At 41.0% G+C, this 23,823-nt stretch overlaps 1 protein-coding gene and 1 pseudogene across 10 annotated transcripts in view; both read left to right on the forward strand.

Annotated features, from left to right (window-relative positions):
* EML6 (EMAP like 6) overlaps positions 1-23,823 on the forward strand; it is a 248,474-nt gene that overhangs the window by 111,504 nt on the left and 113,147 nt on the right. For 8 of the 10 annotated variants that reach the window (XR_001738743.2, XM_017004098.3, XM_047444299.1 and 5 more), the window contains exons 8-11: positions 8,992-9,193; positions 12,431-12,568; positions 14,907-15,163; positions 18,588-18,800. Coding sequence is in view for 9 of the 10 variants with exons in the window: in XM_017004098.3 (XP_016859587.1) it covers positions 8,992-9,193; positions 12,431-12,568; positions 14,907-15,163; positions 18,588-18,800 (810 nt within the window). In the remaining variant the exon portion in view is untranslated. The remainder of the gene's footprint in view (positions 1-8,991; positions 9,194-12,430; positions 12,569-14,906; positions 15,164-18,587; positions 18,801-23,823) is intronic. The other 2 variants (XM_047444302.1, XM_017004101.2) reach the window with 2 other exon arrangements.
* RNU7-81P (RNA, U7 small nuclear 81 pseudogene) lies at positions 15,235-15,294 on the forward strand (annotated as a pseudogene).

Genomic DNA, 23,823 nt, shown 5'->3' on the forward strand with positions numbered 1-23,823 from the left:
CTCTGCCTGTGACACTCTTGCCTAGAATCTGCATGACTACTTCCCTCCTCTCCTTCAAACCTTTGCTCAAATAAAGCCTATGCTGATGATCTCTTCTAGAATTGCAACTCATTCTGCCTCTACCACTCCAAGTATTCCAAATCCCCTTCTCCCGGGTTTACCTTTCACCTTGTAACATACAGTATAATTTCTGTGTTATGTTCTTGGCTATTGTCTGTTTCCACAAAGGTAGGGATCTTTGTTCACTGATGCCTCCCACCCACTTAGGACGTGCCTAGTGTGTGCTGGAGTCCTGGAAGTAGCTGTCAGGTGAATGAAAAGTGTCATAGGACTGGAGGGTGGAGCCTTGTGGAGGAGCGCAAGTGATGAGGATGCAGAAGGAGGAACAGATAACTTGGTTTCTTTGTGTCAACCTGTGACATGCAAGCTTGCACTCCAAGGGCCAACTACAGGAGGTCTTAGAGGTTTAGGCAGGCATGTGGCATAATCGGATCTCCACTTAGTTCTCCTGCCCCAGAGCAGAGAGCAGACTGGGGTAGGATAGGATCAGAGGTAGGAGCCCAGGTGGTTGTTCCAGAGTGTTCATGCTTATTACTGTTTTTACTCCTCTGAGTACTGCGATGGTCAGATAGTCTAGCAGCTCTCAACCAGGAGTGATTTTTTGGACATTTGGCAGTGTCTGGAGACATTTTTGATTGTCGCAACTGCAGAGTTGCGACTGGCATCTATGGATAGAGGCCAGGGAAGCTGCTAAAAGTATTACAGTGGACAGGAGAGCCACCACAACAAAGAATTACCCAGCCCCAAATGTTGATAGTGTTGTTGTTAAGATCCCTTGCAGAGAACGTCCAAAAGACCAACTCTCAAACCTGAGAACACCCTTGTTTACGATAGAAGCAAAATAAGCACATCCTATTCTCCAGTCCCGCGGGCGGCTCCATTACTTACCTCTTGACTCCTTGCCTCTGTCACCGCTCTCCCTGTGTGCCCACCATTTTTCTCTGGGCTTGCCCTTCAGCCTCACTGTTCTGCTGAGAAGGTAGAAGAACACTGCAGAGGCCCGAGCCTCAGGAGCTGGAGACAGATTTGCAGCCAGGAGATGTGGTGTCACTGTGTGCGCAAGTTCCGTGTGTGACATGGTGTCAGAGGGCTGCTGGCCTGGCTTGTAGTAATTCCTCTGTAAATAACTCTCCTTAGCCAGCCTTATGTAAAAGCTAGCCTGGGTGGGTTTCCTCCCTGGGTGGGAGGCCATGGGCTTGGCTATGTGTTCTCATCTTCTGATATCTCACTAGGCTTTGTGTATCTTTCACAGTTCCCGTGGCTGTAGAATTTTGGATCCTGCGGAGTGGGTTTTGAAATGAGCAGAGATTTTGTAAAAAGAAATCTTTCCTATGAATTCTGCTGGAGATTCTCAGGCAGGGAGCCTTTGTGAACAGGAGCAGCAGGTCATAGGCAGTCCACGCTTAGGATGACCTGCAGCCCCAGCCCTGCGACTCTCCCAGCTCAGGGTCAGTGCTGAATGCCCACTCTGTGGTGGCCTTTGTGGTACACACTCTACACACAGGATCCCATTTAATCCTCAAACTCCCCTGGGGGTCCCCTGGCAGGGAGGCTTCTCAGGCTGAGGTCTGGGCAGTCACACAGGGCCTGGTACTCAGGAGGGCCCTGCGGTTGGTTGCATGCTTTGCTGTCACTTGCTTGGAATTCCTAATCGTTTTTTAGCAAGGGGCCCCACACTTCTGTTTTGCACTGGGCTCCAAAATCATTGGTGTTTATGAATCCCTGGGGAGATGCATGTCTTTCCTCCTTCATTTCTTTCACATTTCCAAACTCTGTCTTCAGCATTACCCTTAGAACATCAGAAGTCCCTGCAAGGCCCAGAGCTCCTGTGCCCAGGATCCAGGCTCCCTAGGTGGCCTCAGCCACCCCTTCCTGAGGGGCTGCAAGGGCGGGGGGTTTTGAAGATCTCTGCTGTCTTTTCCACACCCTCTACCAATACTCCCTCTTAAGTTTGGGTGAAATTACTCTTCCTCTCTCTCTTGTTCTTATTACCTTTTAACCTCTTGCACTCAAGGCATTCCCTGGTTTTGCATCCTTAATAAGGTTAGGTTTACAGGAGACAGCCACAACCTTGTCTTGTTTCACCTTCAGTACCATGTCCTGGGCATACATTCACAGATACAGGAAATAACTTTGTGGGGAAGGGTATTAACTCCACACTTGAACTGCCTGAATCCTCATTTTTTTTCCCCCTATTGCTAGCTTGCTCTGTGACTTGAGGCAAGTAATACAAACTTTCTATGCTGTTATTTCCTCATCGGTTCAGCACGTATTTACTAGCCCCGTTGAGGGCCTGGCGCTGTCCATGGGGTTAATGATAATGCCACCTCCTAAGCACTCACGGGCACTCACGGGCACACGGCTTGGTTAAGTTGGTGAGAATCCTTACTGCCCACCTGCAGGGCTTGCTTGTTTATCTCAAAGTCGACTTCTCACAGGTGCTACTGTCTTTTTTGTCATTTGCTCATCATCTTTGGGCTTTCCGATCCAGTGGGGTAGAGTTTGCCAGCATGTGACTGAAGAACCACTGCATTAGAATCAGCTGGTGACCTGCTGGGCACTCTGAATTTTCAACAATCTGACATGCAAGAACACACTAGGTGGAGAATGGCTTGAGCAGGCAGTGGTTCTCAGCCCTGGGGAGCTAAAAGTAATGAAGTCTTGCTCTGGTCCAGACCAACTGGGAGGAATATCTGGGAGGGGCGCAAGCATCTGTGTCTTTTAAATGCTCTCTCTGTAGATTCTGGTGTACATTGAGGGTTGGGAACAACCATGCCTGGCCCTTTACCATATCAGGCCTTGGAACATGGGTTTTAAGAACACTATTAAATACGAGCCTCTGCCTGCTTTCAGTTTTCCCCTCTTGGACCAAATAATTGGGAGAAAAGGCCATTTTCTTCCCCAAATGGTTTGTTCTCTTTGTGTGCTGGAACATAGCCTTTTCCTCTGTGAGTTTGCAGTGCCAGCAGATCAAAATTATAATAGCAAATGACAAAAGCTAAGTTGTAAGATAAGGCAGAGTAACTAAGACTCTAGGAAAGGCCCATAGGGCACTTCATAGTTCCTGGCACTGCCACCTTACAGGGCTCGGATGTGACCACACATACAGCAAGTTGTTCTGTGCTGAGATGTGAACTTAATAGAAAGATCCTGACCTAGCACAAAACCCGCGGGTTAAAATAATAGCATAATGTATTGATTCATTCCTCAGTGCCAGACACTGGGTCATGTGTTGTTGTGTTGAATTCTCACAATGCTATGAAGTGTGAGTGCTAATAATCTCCACTTTACAGATGGAGGAACTAACGATATGAATGACTAAATACCTTACCATGTCACACAGCTGGCAACGGCTGGTATATAAATCCAGTTCATATATTTAACTGTTCAAAATAAACTAGTGGTAGAAAATAAGCAATGTCCCTTAGTAATGAGGTCTGATTTGATATTCACAGACTAGATCTCCCCATGGCCAGGCTTCAGGACTGTAGCAGAGGGAATTGGAAGGTTGCTGTTTCTCTTCTCTGGTCTGAGTATAAAATCAGGGCCACGGACTGGTGAGGATTTGGTCTTGGCATAAGAGGATTTTTTTGGTTTAGATGGGTGATTTGCTCTCTACCGCCATCTGCTGGCTCTCTGTACCAAGCATAGGCCCAAGCTCCACGTTTCTCATCACAAGTGGCACAGGGTATGGTGTCCAAATGTGGACACCTCATCTGTGTGGTGAAACGCCTTCAGTTCACAGTGTCAAAAGTAACAATGATGTGTATTTCTCCAGGAAAGAGAACTTCTGTGGTTTTAAATAATGAGGATGGTTTCTCCTGTTTCTCTTAACTACTGATGGATTTGTAACCATATTCCAAATACTAGCTTATATTTCTCTGACTCCCAGAGCAGAATAGAAAGCAGTATAAGACAGCTTCGTTGCCTTCTAATGCTGCAGCTGCCTTGGTCAGCCCAGCTGGGACATCATGATTACATTTCTGTTCTCTGGGTTTGTGTCAGAAGTAGAAACTAAGCCTGGATAGACAGGAGAAGGGAATTAATGTCAGAACTTTGTCAGGGATCTGCCATTCACCAAGGTCTCACCAGAAGGTTCCCAGAAGAGACTGTGTGGTTCTCTTTACCACTCTTGCATGCAGAAGAACAATTAGGTTAAAAAAGGATGGCAATGGGATGTTATTAGGAAACATGAATACAGCTTTTGACACACTGATGTCTTCCTTTTTAAAATGGTTATCTAAGGAATGAGAGTGACCTGGTATTGTATCTATTGCCTGGTGGACAGACGCCATGAGATTGACTTGTCTGATGTGACAAAAGACAATTGATGTGTTGAAAGAACTGAGTACTTAGGGAGAGACGCAGTTGCTCTCTGAGAGAAAATGTTCACAGCTCATTAAGTTGATATTGCAAGCAATGAAAATGTAGCAACTCCTTCTCTTGTTCTCTTCCCTTCCACCCATGTGTAGCCAGAAATAATCCTTGCTAAGCTCCGCCTTTACGTTGGTTAGTTCAGTGGAACCCTTTTTCAAATGAAATCGGAGATGGTGAGGTGTCAAGGGAAATGCAGCAGTGGGATCCTCAAACTCCCGCCTCTTGCTGTCCTATTTCCTGGCCCTCTCCTTGCCAGGAACCTGGCACTCTTCTGAGGAATGCAAGAGCTCCCTGGATATGGTCTGAAAAACACTGAGTGCCATGTGACTTGACTGGTTCATTAGTCTGGGCTGAGTTGGAAGGTTTTGGTCTTTGTTCCTGAGCCTCTTAAAATTTTTTAAAAGAGAGGATATATAGATATATATTTAATGTCGATATTTAATTCCAGGTTGTGGGTTATTATAATCTTTTTTCCTTGCTGAATTTATTCCCCCAAATAAGGTTAAAAATAGCAGGACAATAAATACAGTAAAAAAGTAGATTATTTAGTTTTTGCTGATGTTGGAAAATCATTAACTCTTTGCTTCCTGATAATGCTGAAGAGTACAGCATTAAATCCTTTCTGTAATAAAGCATAAATAGATACTTGACCAAATACAGCTCCAGGCCCTTGGGACAAATTCAAGTCATTTGGCCTTGAGAGGCCAGACATGCTGTTGGAGGCCTTGGGAGAACTGGTGTGTTCATGCTTACAGTGAAGCCATGGATTCCAGACCTGCCTGGAAAAGGGCCGTGTCTTTAAAACAATCAATGGCATTATAAAAGGACTATGATCTGAATATTCAATAACAGTTAAAATATATAACGTATCACTAAGATGTAATGTATATGTCTATATCTGTATACAATGTATGTGTATATAGGTACACATATACATTTGCATCACTTTAGTTTTTGATGCATGGATATCTGCTTACATATGTCTGGCCCCTTTTTCAAATGTAATCTTCATTACGGTAGGGGCCTATCTTGTTCACTGTTAAGCTCCACTGTCAGGCACAGAGTAGTGCTGAATAAAAATTTCTGAAATAAAGGAATGAATATATCCCATCTTTGAATGTTCTTACTGAGTAACAAGGGTGGTATCTTTTATTTCTTGGCATCTCCAAGGACTCAAATATTTGATTTTGATGTTTTATTTCATTTGCTCAGTAATCTTTATTGAGCATCTACCACGTGACAGTCACTGTGCCAGGTATTGAGGATATAGCAGTAAATAAAACTGATAAAACTCTCTTCACAGACCTTTCTATTCTACTGAGAGGAAGCAGACAATAAATACAGTAAAAGTAGATTATTTGTTTTTTGCTGATGTTGAAATATCACTGACTCTTCTTCCTTCCTGATGATGCTGAAGAGCAAAGCATTAAACCCTTTGTGTAATAAAAGTAGATGATGCAAAGCCTGCTAGGGAGACAACTAATTCAGCCCCTCCTCCCAAGCCCCTGCAGGAGCTGAGAAAAACACCAGGGAGAAAACGGGAATATGTTGACTCCTGAGTGGTAATGAAACCCCGAAAAGGGTAGGCAAAGAGATCAGGACAAGGAGGGGGGGCTGTGGCAACAGGATCATGGGCGCAAGGCCGTGTGGTTCTCTGCAGCTGAGCTGCATGCCCTGTCAGCTTGCAATGACATCCTGACTGCTTTCACCATACATCTGTCCTTCCCATCCTTGAAAGCCCATCCTGATGTTTGCAGTGGAGGATTTTGATTAATTGACCCTGAACTACTGTTGCCAGGGTGTCTCTACTCCTCCTGGCGGGAATAATACATCGGCCTGTGTGCTTTTTCCCACCATTTCAAGACCTGTAGCAATGAATTCAGAGGAAGGAGTAAAGACAGTTATCTCATGTATTTGTTTAAAGCCTTATGCCTTGAAAAACTACTTTCTCTTAATAAATGCATTTATCTCATTGGATCCTCTCGGGACCACAGTGAAGTGATTAAGATCAAGATTATAGTTAGGATGTCCGCGTACCCCAAATTACCCCTTCTGTTGTCCCAGCATCCCAGCTGGTTTAGTATTTGTCTTGGCTTTTTTTTTTTTTTTTTTCTTTTGAGACAATCTTGCTCTGTCGCCCAGGCTGGAGTACAATGGCACAATCTCAGCTCACTGCAAGTCCCTCCGCCTCCCAGGCTCATGCCATTCTCGTGCCTCAGCCACCCGGGTAGCTGGGAATACAGGTGCGTGCTACCATGTCCAGCTAATTTTTCTATTTTTAGTAGAGACGGGATTTCACCATGTTGGCCAAGCTGGTCTCAAGCTCCTGGCCTCAAGCGATCTGCCTGCCTCAGCCTCCCAAAGTGTTGGGATTACAGGCATGAGCCACCGTGCCTTGCCATTTTTTTTTTAATAGACTTTATTTTTTAGGACAGTTTAGGTTCAGAACAAAATTGAGAATGTAGAGAGACTTACCATATACCCCTTCCCACCCACAACACACATACATAGCTTCCCTCACTATCAATGTGCCCCACCAGAGTGGTACATTTGTTCCAGTGGGTGAAGCTACCTTGACGTGTCATTATCACCCAGATGCCGTAGTTCATGTTAGAGTTCACTCTTGGTGGCGTATATTCTGTGGGTTTTGACAAATGTGTAATGACATGTCTCCACCATTATAGTATCCTACAGGATAGTTTCACTGCCCTAAAAATCCTCCATACTCTGCCTGTTCATCACTCTGCCTATTTATCTCTCTGCCCCAGATTTTTAATTTTGCAGTAAACAGTTTTTAGAATGTTATAATTGAAAATACTTTGATAGAACTATTTAGTAGGTCTTTCAACATAAGAAAGCTGCTTCCTTAGTCAAATACTTCAAAGTATTATGTAAATTTAGTTTTAGAGCCTCTTAAAGGCGTTCTAATTGGAATGACAGATTACTTGGTCACCATAATTACAGTCTATATCTTAAGGGGAGAAAAATTGGTCCCCAGCAAGGAAAGAATACTCCTATGTCTAGCCAGCTGGACCTAGAGCAGGAGTAGAGGCCAAGTCCTCGAACGTCTGATACTTTCTATCCCAGAGACACAGTGCCTGCTGGGGAGGCAAATTGGAGCCCATCACATCCTGGCCTTGTTTTAAAGTATTTAGGAAATTGATATTGCTTCTGTATTTCTAATTCGGATTCAAAAACTCACTGCCTAAACAAATAACAAACCCAGTAAGGAACAGAACAGACTGCAAAAAATCCAAGATACTGAGACTCAGGCAAGTGAGGACCTGCCTAGGGAGGATGAAATAGTACTACTGAGAGGGACGTGTGGACTTTAAAGGAGTACTATGCTTTTGGAGAAGAGGCTTGTGGAGAAGATTCCATAAATTAAGTCGGTGAAGAATAGTATTTTCACTGATAAATGTTTGATGGTATTTTGAGATTGAAATTGGAGTTTCATTTGCATATTTCTGAGACATGGTGCATCTGTTTATTCCGTAGGATATATCTAGATTCTGATCAAATATGTATTAAACTTGTTTAATATGATCATCAGCTGTTCTGTAGTGTCACCCACGTATAATTTTAACACAATGTTATTCCTAAAGGTTGAACTGATTCTTCTCTGATAGCAAATCTGAAGGAAATTATTCTGAAGGTTAGGTTTTCATGAAGACCAATTTATCATCTTATATTTACTTGATGATATAGTATTTAAAATACATTCTACTGTTTAAGACCAGCCTGGGCACCACATAGCAAGACCTTGTCTCTAGAAAGAAAAAAAACTAGTCTAGGCATGGTGTTGCACACCTGTAGTCCCAGTTACTTGGGAGGGTGAAGCAGGAGGATTACTTTGAGCCCCGGAAGTCGAGGCTTCAGTGAGCTACAGTGCTACCACACTCCAGCCTGGGCAACAGAGTGAGACCTTGTCTCTAAAAAATAAAAACAAACAATCCTGCTGTAGAAACACATAGTTATCCTAAGTCAAGGAAAAGCAGCCACTCTTTTGCAAACTAGATTACAAGGGGTGGAGGAAACATCCAGCGCTTGTAAGAAAATAACACAGAATGGGCTGGGCGTGGTGGCTCATGCCTGTAAACCCAGCACTTTGGGAGTCCGAGGCGGGCGGATCACGAGGTCAGGAGATCGAGACCATCCTGGCTAACACGGTGAAACCCCGTCTCCACTAAAAATACAAAAATTAGCCGGGTGTGGTGGTGGGCATCTGTAGTCCCAGCTACTTGGGAGGCTGAGGCAGGAGAATGGCGTGAACCCGGGAGGCGGAGGCTGCAGTGAGCTGAGATCGGGCCACTGCACTCTATAGTCTGGGTGACAGAGCAAGACTCCATCTCAAAAAAAAAAAAAAAAAAAGCACAAAGAATGGTGGCAGAGTTGATTCTCTGCCTCCAAGAGTCTTTAAGATGTGTCACATTTGATGGTATCCTGGTTAAAGGGCATTTACTTTAGGGTTTTGTGTGTGTGTGTGTGTGTGTGTGTGTGTGTGTGTGTGTGAATAGTGTGAAGATTTGCTTTTGTTTTACTTATTTTTGTCAGGCCTCTCTATCCGGAGCGTGTGCTGGAAAGCAGACCGCCTTCTAGCAGGGACCCAGGACAGTGAGATATTTGAAGTGATTGTGCGAGAGCGAGACAAGCCGATGTTGATCCTACAGGGCCACTGCGAGGGTGAGCTCTGGGCTCTGGCCCTGCACCCCAAGAAGCCTCTGGCTGTGACAGGCAGCGATGACCGCTCTGTCAGGTGAGGCCCTACCGCCGTCACCTCTCTGACTTCTTTGAGATGGATTTATTTGCCCAAATTTGCTTATTAATAGAAGGATAAAGTGCAGAACAGAACCACACAGTTTCCAAATGAAACGTTAAGACATTTAGCTCATCAAGTGGGTTTTTGGCATTTTGCTCCTGCTGTTGTCTTTCTTGGCTGCATCTTAAATCATGGAAATGTTTTTTAGAAGTGAAAAATGCTTCAATACTGGTGATGCTGGCTTCCAGATCTTTCTAATTGGAGATTTATGAGCTAAGCACACTCATCTATGATGAAACCATATTGTCCCCTCGTGCCCTTGGTCTTCTGCAGGGGGCTGCATGGAGATTTTACAATTTTGTTAAAGGCTCTCTCATTCATCATCATTAGAACTTAAATTCTGATTCTCAAAATTGTCTTTAGCACATGAATAAGCTATTATTTCTTTTTAAAGTCTCAGATGAAATTTTGAACAGCATCATCAGATGAAAGAATCATGGGGCCTGAGAAAGTAGTTTACTCGGAGCCTCCAGCTTTCTTGCTGTGGATCATTTTTATTCTTTTGAGAGCCCAACTGGGTAAAATGAGCACAATGACTTATGATTCCAGTATTTTTGTACCTATTAAAGGAATGAACATATGACTTAAAGGTTTGGGATGAAGAATGTTACCCCAATTTCAGTATTTTATTACTTAGTGCTGAGCTTTAGATATGCTCAATGACAAACAGGCCAGAAAGAGGGAGAGTGTGAGAGGAACAGACTGATCAATCGATTGAATGGCTACTGCCTCTGGGTTTTGATAGCTAATATAGAACAATGCAAACTGGACTAAAGCTCACTAGTTCCCACCTCCCTTATTTTGTGTGTTTATGAGTCGCATCAAAATACAATTAGTGTAGTCATTAATTCTGTTTTTTCCATCTCTACCAAGCACGAAAACCTCATTGATCTAAAAATCAGTGAGAAAAACTAAAACAACTGTTGTTCTCTCCTTGTGTGACATAAATGGTTATTTGGTTTATACTTCACTTTACTCACTTCTCCTTTTTTGTTTTTGTCTTTCTGTTACTCTTGAATTTTCCCGCTTATTCAGACACGTGTGAAACTCATACCCATCCAGAAAGAAGTGATTTCAAGGAAGTCCTTCGCTTTTATGTTTCAACAATTGTTAAGTCTCAGAATTGCAAACATCCTTGAGGAGCCCTGACTGCCAGAATCTTATTCCCTTTAACCATTAATTTGACTAGAATCTTTAATACATTTTTACACTAAGTATTAAAATTTAGGAAGGCTAAAAGTCATAATTTCTTGAGAAAGATGAGCATAGTGACTTCAGAGGGATAGTACCATTTACTGAGGAGTGATGGTTTCTTTACTAGTAAAGCAAGGGTTACATTGCTTAAAATAGTACAAGGTTGAAACAGCATGAGATCATGCATGATGGATGAGGTATTGAGAACATACTCAGCTTGAGGCTGCACAGTACAGGCTGCCTAAGGGACCGGTAAGCTATTTACTGTGCAGCTCAGCATGGAAGGGATGTGCCCCATCCCTTCTGATGGCAGAATGCTTTGAGAGAAACCGTGCTGCATGTGACTTATTCTTGTCTGTCTGTTGCAGAGCTCTAGGTTCTCAGTCTCCCAGACACTAGTTTGTGTTATCAGAAGACTATATTTTAAAAAGTACTAATTGATGGAAGTCAGATACCACAATTGCACCCAACATGTAAAGCCTTATTTCTATCTTCAGATGTTTCATTCAGGCTCACTCAGTTTGGGGTGCCTGGATTTAGGTGTTGTGGGGATGGGAATGTTTGCTGAAAGCTTTGTTTGAGCTGCAATTGCCCCTCGTTTGCCACTTCTCCAGCAGTGACTGTGCTTACTGGCCAGGAGTCCTGTGAGGTGTCCACCCCCACAAAAGTGGACCCATCACTTGGGCGCCCAGGGAAGCTTGTGAGGAGCAACAGAGGGGGATATCATTTGCTCTTCTTCATCTTGGACACATTTTCTTCCTAGGAAGGCCAACAAATGTAACATATATTTCAATCTGTGTGTGCTGAAATAACTATTACTGGAAGCACTTTTATATATTTACATACATATATAATTATATTGATTATGTATACTGATATGTAGATATATAGATATATATTTATATTGATCTATATATTGAGAGATATATATTTGTGTTGATATATATTTATATTGAGAAAGAGATATATTGATACATAATTTTTTTTTTTTTTTTTGAGACAGGGCCTTGCTCTGTTTCCCAGGCTGGAGTGTAGTAGTATGAACATAGCTAACTGCAACCTTGAACTCCTAGGCTCAAGCTATCCTCCTACCTCAGCCTCCCAAGTAGCTGGGATTACAGGCATGCCCCACCACACCCAGCTATTTTTAAAATCTTTTTTAGAGATGGAGTCTCACCATGTTGCTCAGGCTGGTCTTGAACTCCTGGGCTCAAGCAATCTTCCTGCCTTGGCCTCCCAAAGTGCTGGGATTATAGGCATGAGCCACTGTGTCTGGCGCATACTTTTTAAAAAGCTAATAATAATGGCATCTTATCCTGTAAGTACTTTTTAACATGTATGTGTGATGAACAACCCTTGGTATACATAAAGGACCACTTAATTTCCAAAGTGAAAGTAATATTTTGTATGAAGTAGTATTTTTTTTTTTTTGGAGACAGGGCCTTGCACTGACACCCAGGCTGGAGTGCGGTGGCAGGATCAGCCTTGAACTCCTGGGCTTAAGTGATCCTCCTGCCTGTGCCCCCCAAGTAGCTGGGGCTACAGGCACACACTACCACATCCAGCTAATTTTTGTATTTTTTGTAGAGTCTGTGTCTCATTATATTGCCCAGGCTATTCTCGAACTCCTGGGCTCAAGTGTTCCTCCTGCCATGGCCTCCCAAAGTGCTGGGATGACAGGCGTTGAGCCATCATGCCCAGCCTTAAATTTTTTTTTTGTTCTGTGAATCTCAAAATCTTTGGAAATGTTACCTCATTTGATAATTCTTGCTGGTTTCCTTCAAATCATGAAAATGACCCAAAGATGCACTAAAACACCTTTCCACACTCGCTGACAGGCCATGATAAAGGGCTCTGGTGTGAAGTTCCTATGTCTTTTCTTGTTACTGTTGGTGTGGTGAGCAGCCCTTCTTGCCTTGGGCTGGCCGATGACCATGGGAAGTTGGTTTTGTTTTGTTTTGACTTCGTTCTTGTGCCTAGGCTGTGGAGCCTGGCTGATCATGCCTTGATCGCCCGCTGTAACATGGAAGAGGCGGTTCGCAGTGTAGCTTTCAGCCCCGACGGATCTCAGCTGGCCCTGGGCATGAAGGACGGCTCTTTCATTGTTCTCCGAGTCAGGCACGTACTGATGTTGAAAATGGTATTTAGAAATGCTCTCGTGTTAAATGTTACAATTTTCCTGGTCATAATACATGCTAGGACCTTAGGAAAAATCCATTTAGCCATTCAAATAGGAATACTATAGATCTACGATCCCCTATCTGTAATTCTGAAGTCCTAACACTCTGAAAATACAAAATTATTTGATAATTTGGCAGCACAGTCTAACCCAACAGACTGATGTGAGGCTGTTTATAATCTAGTAATCTCTTAGTAGAAATAATCATGTGTCATGTGACTTGCTGCAAAATTATTGTGTTTAATACAGATTGCTGCCCCAGCCCCCACTGGGGATGTTACATGATACATTGTGTATGAACCTTTCTAAAATCTAATGAATAATGAATTCCCAAGCACATCTAATTCCAAGGGTTTTGGATAAAAGATTGTGGGCTTTGTAGTAAGCCAAGAAAAGAGGAAGAAAGAATAAAGCAGCACCCAACAGCACCAGATGTTTAGAGGTGAGCTTTAGTAAAAGATTTCTTCTACCCATAATTGATACTAAAATGGAATATTTCCTATTTACTGACATCCTATATACTTTTTACTGAAAAAAATTATGACCCACTCTTGTAATTCCTCTGAATGCATTTGTCGTTCTCTCGACTCACATGTTTTGTAATTATAGAAAATAAATGCAGCTATAAAGTAAATATTTCCCGCTTTGCACAGAGAATTCTCCATAGCTTTGATTGGAGAATGGTCTTAGCACAGTTTATTACACTACATTCTCACTACCAACCACACATAACTCATTACTGAACTAGTGGGCAACATTTTCTTTCTCTGCTTAGTGACGTGTGAAAAGATGGCTGAGTACCAGATTTCTTTTTCGATGGACTTCTCAAGCTTCCACACTACACACACACACACACACACACACACATAAATTTCCAGACACCTATTTTATGACATTCTAGTACACCATAATGCTATTAATAAATGATAGCAGGTATGAGCGACTGTTATGTAGAACGATTATTTGCTATTCTTTATGTATTCAGTTTATTTGGAGTTGATGAAGCCATCTTTACTGGCTCAGGGGACCTGCTAGTTGTCATAATCCTGTCTCACAATTGTAGGGAAAAAACAACCCCAGTGAGCTTTCCAGTGTGAGCAGAAATTCTTAAAAGAATCTGGTCAGAAACAAAACAAAATATTCCAGTGACTCACTGTATTCATGACAGTGAAATGTTGAATGATTACATCACAATTTAACATTTAAAAAGGTAATTTTCTTCAGCTGCTTTTTTGACTTGCTCTTTTTGCGACAATAGGTATCAAGCTTAACAGTCACTCGTTTCTTAAAGTATAAAAAAGATGATTTATTTATGTTAATCTTGATACAGTCTCCCTTTCTCCATGGCGTATTTTTAAAACAATTTGACAAACCCCAACTTTTGAAACAAAAATTTTAGGGAAAAATAATATATAGTTAAACATGAAAGCAAATGTGCATTTCTTTTTAAAATTTTAAAAATCGATACATAATAGATACACATATTTTCAGGGTACATGTAATTGAATACATTCATATAATTCGTGAAGATCAAATCAGTGTAATTGGGCTATCCATCACCTTAAATATTTTTTCTTTATGCTAGAGACATTTGAATTATTTTCTCCCATTTGGAAATATCTGATAGATTATTATAACCTATAGTTACTCCACTGATCTATCAAACGCTGGATCTTATTTCTTCTATCACACTGCAGTTTGTGCCCATTAATCTACTTCTCTTCATCACAAATATGCACTTAATTAAATTTTTTGTTTTTACTTTGGAAGCCCAAAATATCATTTAAACAGTTTGTTATTCTCCTAAAATGCCATAAATTTTAAGACGGAGTCTTGCTCTGTCGCCCAAGCTGGAGTGCAGTGGTGCCATCTTGACTCACTGCAAACTCTACCTCCCAGGTTCACGCCATTCTCCTGCCTCAGCCTCCCGATTAGCTGGGACTACAGGCGCCTGCCACCACGGCCGGCTAATTTTTTGTATTTTTCATAGAGATAGGGTTTCACCTTGTTATCCAGGATGGTCTCAATCTCCTGACCTCGTGATCCGTCTGCCTCGGCCTCCCAAAGTGCTGGGATTACAGGCGTAAGCCACCGCGCCCGGCCAATGCCATAAATTTTAAATAATAACATTTTATATATTTACTCAAAAGTTAATCCTTTAATTCCTGCAGGTTTGGTTCTCTTTCAACACACTTCTTTTTCTGACACATATATTTTAAAACTTGGATTTTCTATTTGTAGAATTGCTGCTTATCGTTTTGCTTTTTATTCTTACAGAGATATGACAGAAGTAGTTCACATCAAAGATCGAAAAGAAGTCATTCATGAAATGAAATTTTCTCCAGATGGTTCTTACCTTGCAGTGGGATCCAATGATGGCCCAGTAGATGTCTATGCTGTTGCCCAGAGGTATAAGAAAATTGGAGAATGCAGCAAGTCCCTTAGTTTCATCACGCATATTGACTGGTCCTTGGATAGTAAATACTTACAAACTAATGACGGTGCAGGAGAACGATTGTTCTACAGAATGCCATGTAAGTCATGTGGAGGCCTTGGATGTTTCTGGAAAGCAAAATTTTGAACCAGGTGAAGGAAATACAGGACAAGTGTCATGGCTCTTTTAGAATTTGTACAGCAGGTTTTCTGGTTTTTGCCGGAAAGCACCCCCACCTCAGGGCAAGGAATGTTTTCTGTCGCAAGATCCTAAATAACAGACATTCAAAGGAAAGGTATGAGTTGGAACATGTTAAACTAAAAGTTGCTGCACAACAAGGGAGATCGTGAATGAAATGTAAAGACAAGGCATAGACTAGGCATAAATTCTTGCCATTGTTATAATGGACAAAAGATATATATCTAGAATATATAAAGAATGCCTAAGGATAAGAGCAAGGAAAAAAAAACATTAGAAAAATGGGCAAATCTCACATGACCAATAAAAGACTAGGAATCAGGGAAATGATCATTAAAACAACAGTAAAGTACCATTTTACACTATTTAGACTGGCAAAAGTCTGATGGCGAGAAGAGGGGAAATGGAAACCACATATACTGCTGGTGAGAACATGCACTAAGGCATGTGCGCACAAGGATGTTTGTGACACAATGCCTAAATGTTTATCAGCATGAGGAGAGTTGAGTTAAATGTGGTGTAGTCATATAATGGAATACTTTAAAGAACTTGAATAAATTAAACTAGAGCTACTTGCATCAGTAGGGATACATCTCAAAAATATGCTGAGCAAACAAAAGAAAGTTGTGGAATGATATATACAGTGTATGGTCATTTATATAAACTTTTAGCACATGAAAAAATTCTGTATTATTTATGACCATATACACATGTAGTAAATGTTTTAACAATGCATGGGAATGATACCTCATTCAGGATGTTGGTTACCGCTGAGAAGCAGAGATGATCTTGGAAAGAATAACCCAATGAGGCCAGGCATGGTGGCTCATGCCTGTAATCCTAGCACTTTTGGAGACTGAGGCGGGTGGATCACTTGAGGTCAGGAGTTCGAAATCAACCTGGCCAACATGGTGAAGTCCCATCTCTGCTAAAGATACAAAAAAAAATCAGCCAGGCGCGGTGGCGGGCACCTGTATTTCCAGCTACTTGGGAGGCTAAGGCGGCAGAATTGCTTGAACCCAGGAGGTGGAGGTTGCAGCGAGCTGAGATCGCACCACTGCACTCCAGCCTGGGTGACAGAGTGAGACTCCATCTCAAAATAAATAAATAATAAATAAATTTAGAAAAAAAGCCCAATGGATTTTAACTCTGAAACATTTTCTTTAAAATTCTGTGATAAAGACATAATGTTAGGATTTGTTGAAACTGTGGTGCAACACTTGTACACTATAGTAGTCTGTATAATTTTCTGTATGCTCGAAGTATTTCATAGTTTTTTAAAGTAGAGAAAATCTGAAACAATTGTAGAACCAACTTTCAGGTATTTGGATGTTCATGACCTGTTTAGTTCATTATCCAAGTCTTTTGCTTTATCTGTTATTTCTTCTTTATTCCTGATCTTTGCCCATTTCATTGTTCATTAATGTGTACCTAAAAAGTTGACTAAATGGTGATAATGCAAAATAGTCATAATGCTTCTGTCAGTGCCTTGCACACACAATTCTGCAGCAGGGTTAGAAATGAATGAAAATGAACTGGAGGTATCATCCGTGGGTTTCAGCTTGTTGGGCAATAATACTCCCATCGTAACACAGATATCCAGGGATAGTCGGCTACATTATCATTAGGAAAACTGGTTCCTGCCAGAATAGAAAAGAATAGTCTATTGAAATTTTAGAAAAAATGGCCCTGGGAGTATTAGAAACTCTGAGATCAGCTTAGAACTCCAACACAACATTTCAAGATTTAAGTCTTCAAAGATTTGAGGATCATAGTCCTTATTTACTTGGATTGTTTTAGTCCCAGATCTTTGTTCTTCATAATTGGAATCTCTTACTGGTTATTTGGTGAAATGTGCCCATTGGGATTTTTTAAATGCTATTTTTGTGACCCCACCATAACTTTTATAAGAGATTCATCTGACTTACATAATACTCATTTATTAACATTTAGTTTGTGTGATGCTAAAATAAATGTCACAAATAAGACTCTGCCTTATCAAATTCTTCAGTGTACCATTGCAGAAATATGTATTTCTTTGTTTTCTTTGCTTGACGTTACTTCATATATTTTTTCTATGTGAAAAAATATTAAACACATGTTTATCATTTGCAATAATAAAATACCATCCTGTTCAGGGGTGGCATCATAATTTACTTCATCACTGTCTTATTATTGGGTATTTGAGCTTATTTCTAGTATCTTTGTTGGTCCAGCTGTTGGAATTCCAAATGCCCCTGTACTGGTGGAATTTTCTCTCCTGAGTTACTTCCTAGGACTGTATTCTCCAAGGCAAGAACACTAGGTGAAAGACTGTGTTCCAACTACAGACGTTTTTATTTTGTTGTCTCTTTAATGAAGTTTTACGTAATGCTGTTACAGTCTAGAATTTTAAGGTGCCAATTTGATAATGCACCAGTATTATATAAGGGCATTTATTCTCACCAGTTCTTTATTTTGAAAATACTTATTCTGAGAGAGAAGTTAGGTAATATGCTTAAATGTCTTGATTTTGAATTTTAAAATTGTGTGTGGTTAAACACTTTCCCAAATGTATGTATGTTTGCTTCTTTGTGTGCTCTCTGGGGAACATCCCTGACCTGCTGTGGTGGGAACTGGGTAGTGGGCCATCCCCATTTGGGAATATACACAGCACAACGGTCGGGATTATTTTCCCGCGTGAATTACATTTTATTTCATCATAATCTTGTAGATTTTCAGTGCCTAGTACTTATAAATTTAAATAATATTCACTAATTTTTTTTCATTAATCTACTGAGCCTGAATTTTAAAGACATCACTTCTGAGCATCCTTAAATTATGAAAAATAGAAGTTCAGGATGAACTTAGCCAAAGTTTTTAAAACCTGGCAAAGCGTTGGTGACTAAACATGATGATACATGATAAAAGTCATTTCATTAATAATACAAAGCATAATACCATCTGTATCAAGGTAATTAAGTAATTGTTAGTAGCTTGAGACATTACATTTAGTATGATAATTTTCTTAAGTTTTTTGATACATTCATGTGTTTATTGGGTACATGTGAAATTCTGTGACATTCATAGAATGTGTAGTGATCAAGTCAGGATATTTAGGGATGCATCACCTGAATATTTCATCATTTTCTTTTTAATGTCTGAGTTTTGAGTGTGGGCTTTCTTTAAGCCACGCAAAAAAAGAAAAAATCGCAAATGGGATAAAGAGATTAAAATATGTAGTTTTCTGTATTTACAAAAGTTTTCTTAAAGTTTCAGATCTTTATAAAAAATAAATTAGAATAAACTTTTTATTTAAATGTAATGTTAATATTGATTATTTTCAGCTGGGAAGCCTTTAACAAGTAAAGAAGAAATTAAAGGGATTCCTTGGGCCTCCTGGACATGCGTGAAAGGCCCTGAAGTGAGTGGAATTTGGCCCAAATACACTGAGGTTACTGACATCAACTCAGTGGATGCGAATTACAACAGCTCAGTGCTGGTGTCTGGAGATGATTTTGGACTGGTTAAATTGTTTAAATTTCCTTGTCTCAAGAGAGGTAAGGCCAAAAGAGATGTTTCATTGCATAAAGATTTACTCTAAACTGTATACAGTACAATTAAGGCTGATCTTCCTGCTGTCTATTCCAATGCACTGTTTATTTTATCTTGTATATTCTTATTTACTTTTCAACAATTTTAAATAGAATGTGTTGATGTCTTCTACTTTTGACATCTTAAGATATGTGGTTTTGCAAATTTAAGAAAGAATTTGCTAATAGAGTTATTACCATATTGTGATTTGTAAGCCTTGTTTCACATTTCGAACAAGTCATATTTATGTAAATATTCATAGTTTATATATAGTCCGTTAAAATGTTGTAACTAAAATTCTTTTATGATTCAGAGCTATTGTGCTTATACATGGAAAAGCAAAGGAAATCCTTTCAGACATAATTAAAATCTGATCATGGTTGTGGTGATAATAGTTTATGGACCTCTCGTCATAGCAGTAATTTTGCAAACTAGATTTACATAACTGGTGAAATTTTTGAGAGAAGTTTGATTCAAAGCAACCCTCTTTGCCCTCATGTTTTGTTGTTTTGTTTTGTTAAAATTGTTTGACTTCAGTTATGTGGCACACTCAAGCGTTGTAGAAGGTGATGAATTAACCATGTAATGACCTCTTCTTCCTTTGCAAGTTTAGGCAAAGCCCATATTCAGGCTCTTCTGAGACTCCTCAACTGTGCCTGAAAATCCGATCTTAGAAAAGTAATCAACAGGGACATGCTACTGCCTGAAAACTCTTTCACTTGAACAATTTTTAGACTAAGCAAGGAAAGGGATTGAAAAATGCAATCAGAAAGTCATTTTCAGCTAACTGGCAGTTTTGAAGCAGTGACAGTTATGGTACAAATGGAACATAAAATGCATAACAAGACACCATCACTGAAACATCACAAAATGACCATCCGTTTAAAATGTGCAAGGCACAGAATTATCTCAACATGCCCAATTCATACTCTTCTTTTTCCCCACAAGAGCCCTTTGAGTAATAGGGCATATCTTGTTAGATTGAGTAGTATACTTGCAGGGGGTAAGTTAGGCCTCCAAGAAAGTACCTGGGAATTCAGAATTGAGAAGAAACAACATTGGGGTCAGTGGCAACACTACTGGTCTCTAGTGTCAGAACTTGGGAATAAACATAACTCGATGATAATTGATATCCTATACATCCCAAGTCTTTTAAGGTGTGCTTGGGTCTGGAAAATAGCAATGGAAATGTGGATCTATTAGAAAAGAAAGCATGTGTTAGTCTATTCTTACATTGCTGTAAAGAAGTACCTGAGACTTGGTAATTTATAAAGAATAGAGGTTTAATTGGCTCACGGTTTTGTAGGCTACACAGGAAGTATGATGCTAGCATTTGCTTGGCGTCTGGGCGAGGGGTGCTCAGGAAACTTACAATCATGGCAGAAGGTGAGGGGGAGAAGGTACGTCACAAAGCCAGAGCAGGAGCAAGACAGAGCTAGAGCAGGGTTCCTACACTTGTGAGCAAGCAGATCTCATGAAAATTTGTTCACTTTTAGGACAGCACCAAGAGGATGATGCTAACCTATTCATGAGAAATTCACCCCCATAATCCAGTTACCTTCTACCATGCCCCCCCCCCGCCCTCTAATTCTGGAGATTACAATTCAACATGAGGTTTGAGCAGGGACACATGTCCAAACTATATTACAGAGGGTGAGTAGTGCTGTCAAAATGAGTCACCGTTACATAAAAAACAGCTCTTTGGATAATGGCACACAGAGGGCATCTGCATGAATGAGGAGAGATGGACAGCCAGATGACAGTATGGTGAGAAGTAGCAAAACCCACCTCAGCAACCCACAGACATATCCATGTCCTCATAGCAAATGGACTTGTGTTCTACTTTTCATGACACATGGCTTATAAATCTTGTAATTTGCCTCTGAGACATTCAGGCTTTTGTGTCCTTTTTGTGCCAAAACTACTGGTGGGGAAGTGAATAAAAGAGTGGGAATTGTTGATGGGAATACTAGCAGTTGGTGGAATGTGTCTGTCTGTAATTTAGGTGACAAGGTACAAGTATTCCCTGTACATTTTGAACCTGTAAACAGCCAGATATGGGCAGGTGCTGATGACCATGAGCAGTTGTGGGAAATGAGCAAACATTATTGTTTTCCATTGTGATTTTTAAAAACTCACAACCAAGTTAATTTGACATGTTTGCAATTATATGTGTATAACAATCAGTTGCACAGTAATTAGACGTAAGTGTTCTGCAGTTAATGAAAATGACTGCTACTGTACTATGTTTACGTAGCCAAACCAATTTGTTTTTCTCATTTTGACAGTTTTCACATCTTAAAATAATTAGGATCAATACTGACAGCTTTCCCTGATACCACTTAGACTATATCCTGTTTGACCATCGCCACACAGACACTGAAACGAGGTAAAATCCAAGGCCTTGCTCAATGACAATTTTCCATGTCCTAATAGCCTTGGTACGCACCCCTACTCCAATGGGAGACTCAGAGGCTCTCCATGTTCCACCTGGTGCACCCGTTCCATTCCTCCTTTGCATTACACCTCAGCAACCCACAAAAGTATCCATGTCCTGATAGCAAATGGACTTGTGTTGTACATTTTATGACACATGGCCTATGGACAGCTTGAACAGCCACCTCCCATGATGAGTGTCCTGAATGTTAAGACTTGAGTTGCAGAAATCTTGGATCTTAGATCTTGGAGGGGCTGGTGCTGGCCTTCCATATGTCATGGATAAGCTTGATGCAGTGCAGAAGCAGGAAGGCCAGTGTGGCTAGAACTTAGTGCATGAGGGGAAGAGTTGCGTACCGTGACATTGGAGAGGGTGACAGGGCTGTGTCGTAAAGGGCCCCCTGGCCACTACTAGAAATCAGAGTCGTCTTCTAAGTGCAATGAAAAACTATGGATGGTTTTACATGGAGTGATGTGACCAATCCAAGCTTTTAAGACTGTTTTGATATTTTGTGGAATGGTTAGGAAAAGGGAGGTTTCAAGTAGAGAAGTTATTGCAGGAGTCCAGGTAAGAGATGGTGTGGCTTGGACAAAGATACTAGGAAGAGATACAGAAAGGTTGGTCGGGCTTAGGAAACAGTTTCAAGGCAGAGCTGAGGGTCTTACAGATGGACTGGATATGAGAATAGAGGAAAAGAAAGTAATCAAGGATGACTTCTAAGTTTGGGACTTGAGCAGTGGGTTGAATAGTGGCAGCATTTACAGAGCTGGGAAAATGAGAAAAAAGATATTTGTCTCTGGGAGTGCACATAAGGGGAAGAGGAATGTCTCGGTCTGTTTTCCTTGTTGTAAGTTAGGGGCCCGTACTGGGCATCCGGGTGGACGTGGCACAGAGCTGTCAGTGCTCCAGGGAGATGTCAGGGCTGGAGATGTGCACTTGGCAGTCACGTTGACAGCACTTTAAAGCCATGGGGGAGGAGGTTGATAGAGAAGACATGAGGGCTGAGGCCTGAGCCCTCCTGTGGTGCAGAGGACAAAGGGAGGTCTGGTGGAGTCATTCAGTGTCCCAGGGAAAGCCTTATGAGAGACAGGTGTGGCCTTCATTTATTCAAGAAGTGTTCGTTAAATGCTGTCCTACGGGATGGAGATAGGCCAGTGATGAAAACAAGCACAAATCCCTGCCCTCGTGGAGCTTTTGTTCTACTGAAGGTCCACAGTTAATATACAAGAAAATATAAACATCTGATTGTGAGAAGTGCTGTGAAGAAAAATAAAGCAAACAGTGGGAGCAGAGAATGCTGGAATTGGGCAGTGCAGTGTTCTAAATGAGTTGGTCAAAGAGGGGCTTGCTGTTGTGGTTTCATTTGACTTAGAACCTGAAGGAGAATGAAGGATCCAGCTGTTCAGATATCTAGGGAGAGAGCACTTCAGACAGAGGAAACAGCAAAGGCCTAGAAGCAGAGAAAATGCCTAGCATGTTTAGGGAATAGCAAAGAGACCAATGTACCCAGAGCAGAGTGAGTGAGCGGGGAGAGAGGGCAGAAAGAAAAGATGAGAGAGATAAGGCCTAAGTATTAATGACATTAATGCTTTTGCAGGTTCTAGTTCCAGCTTACAAAGGCTATATTAATTATCTATTGCTGCATAACAAATTATTCTCCAAACTTAAAAGTGTAAATGCACAAACATTTATTATATCATGGTTTCTGGGAGTCAAGGAGTCCCAAGAAGCTTAGCTGGGTGATTCTAGTTCAGGGTCTCTCATGAGGTTGCAGTCATGTGAAGGCTAGACTGAGGCCAGAGGATTCGCTTCTTCCAAGATGGCTCACTCATGTGGCTCTTGGCAGGAGGCCTCAGTTCCTGCTGTGTGAGCCTCTCCATAGATTGCTCCAGTGTGCTTATGACGTGGCATATAGAGATCCAAGAAAGACAGCAAGGCAGAATCTGCAGTACCTTTTATAACCTCCTCTTAGATGTCAGCTTCACTTTTGCCATATTCTGTTCATTTTGTATCAGAGAATTTGTGGACATATTTTTAAACCTCTGCAAAGAGATAGGCTAATTGATCTGTGAGGAAGGTATAAAGGTCAAGGAAGCAAAGAAGAGGCCAACACTTTAAGATCTAAAGAGAGTTGGGAAGAGCATACCCTGCTCCCCAATTACTCAATCATGAGCCAGCATTTCCAGCTGACCTTAGTTGGAGCCAGTTTGACTTTATTACGAAACTGATTTAGGTAACTCTTTGAAGTAGGCAAGTTTGCTTTTGAGACCCAATGCTTCCTTTCCCTTCTGCAGCAGAATTCCCCTAATTTTTCTCAGAGCCCCTGATATAATGAGGCTTATCTGGTCAGAGCATGCTCTCAAAAAATGTATGAGCATGACATGTAGCAGTAATTTTCACCTTCTTACAAATCATTGCCTCTCCAGTGGACATTTGAAATTTAAACATGTGATAGTTGAACAGATGGCCTCCCCCAACCCTAATAAAAGGGATTTCATTTAGAGAAACTGTGAGAAATAGAAATGTTTTTGAAGAGAGGTTGGGGTATTTGA

Source organism: Homo sapiens, chromosome 2 (assembly GCF_000001405.40).
Source record: "Homo sapiens chromosome 2, GRCh38.p14 Primary Assembly".
Taxonomy (NCBI): Eukaryota; Metazoa; Chordata; class Mammalia; order Primates; family Hominidae; genus Homo; species Homo sapiens.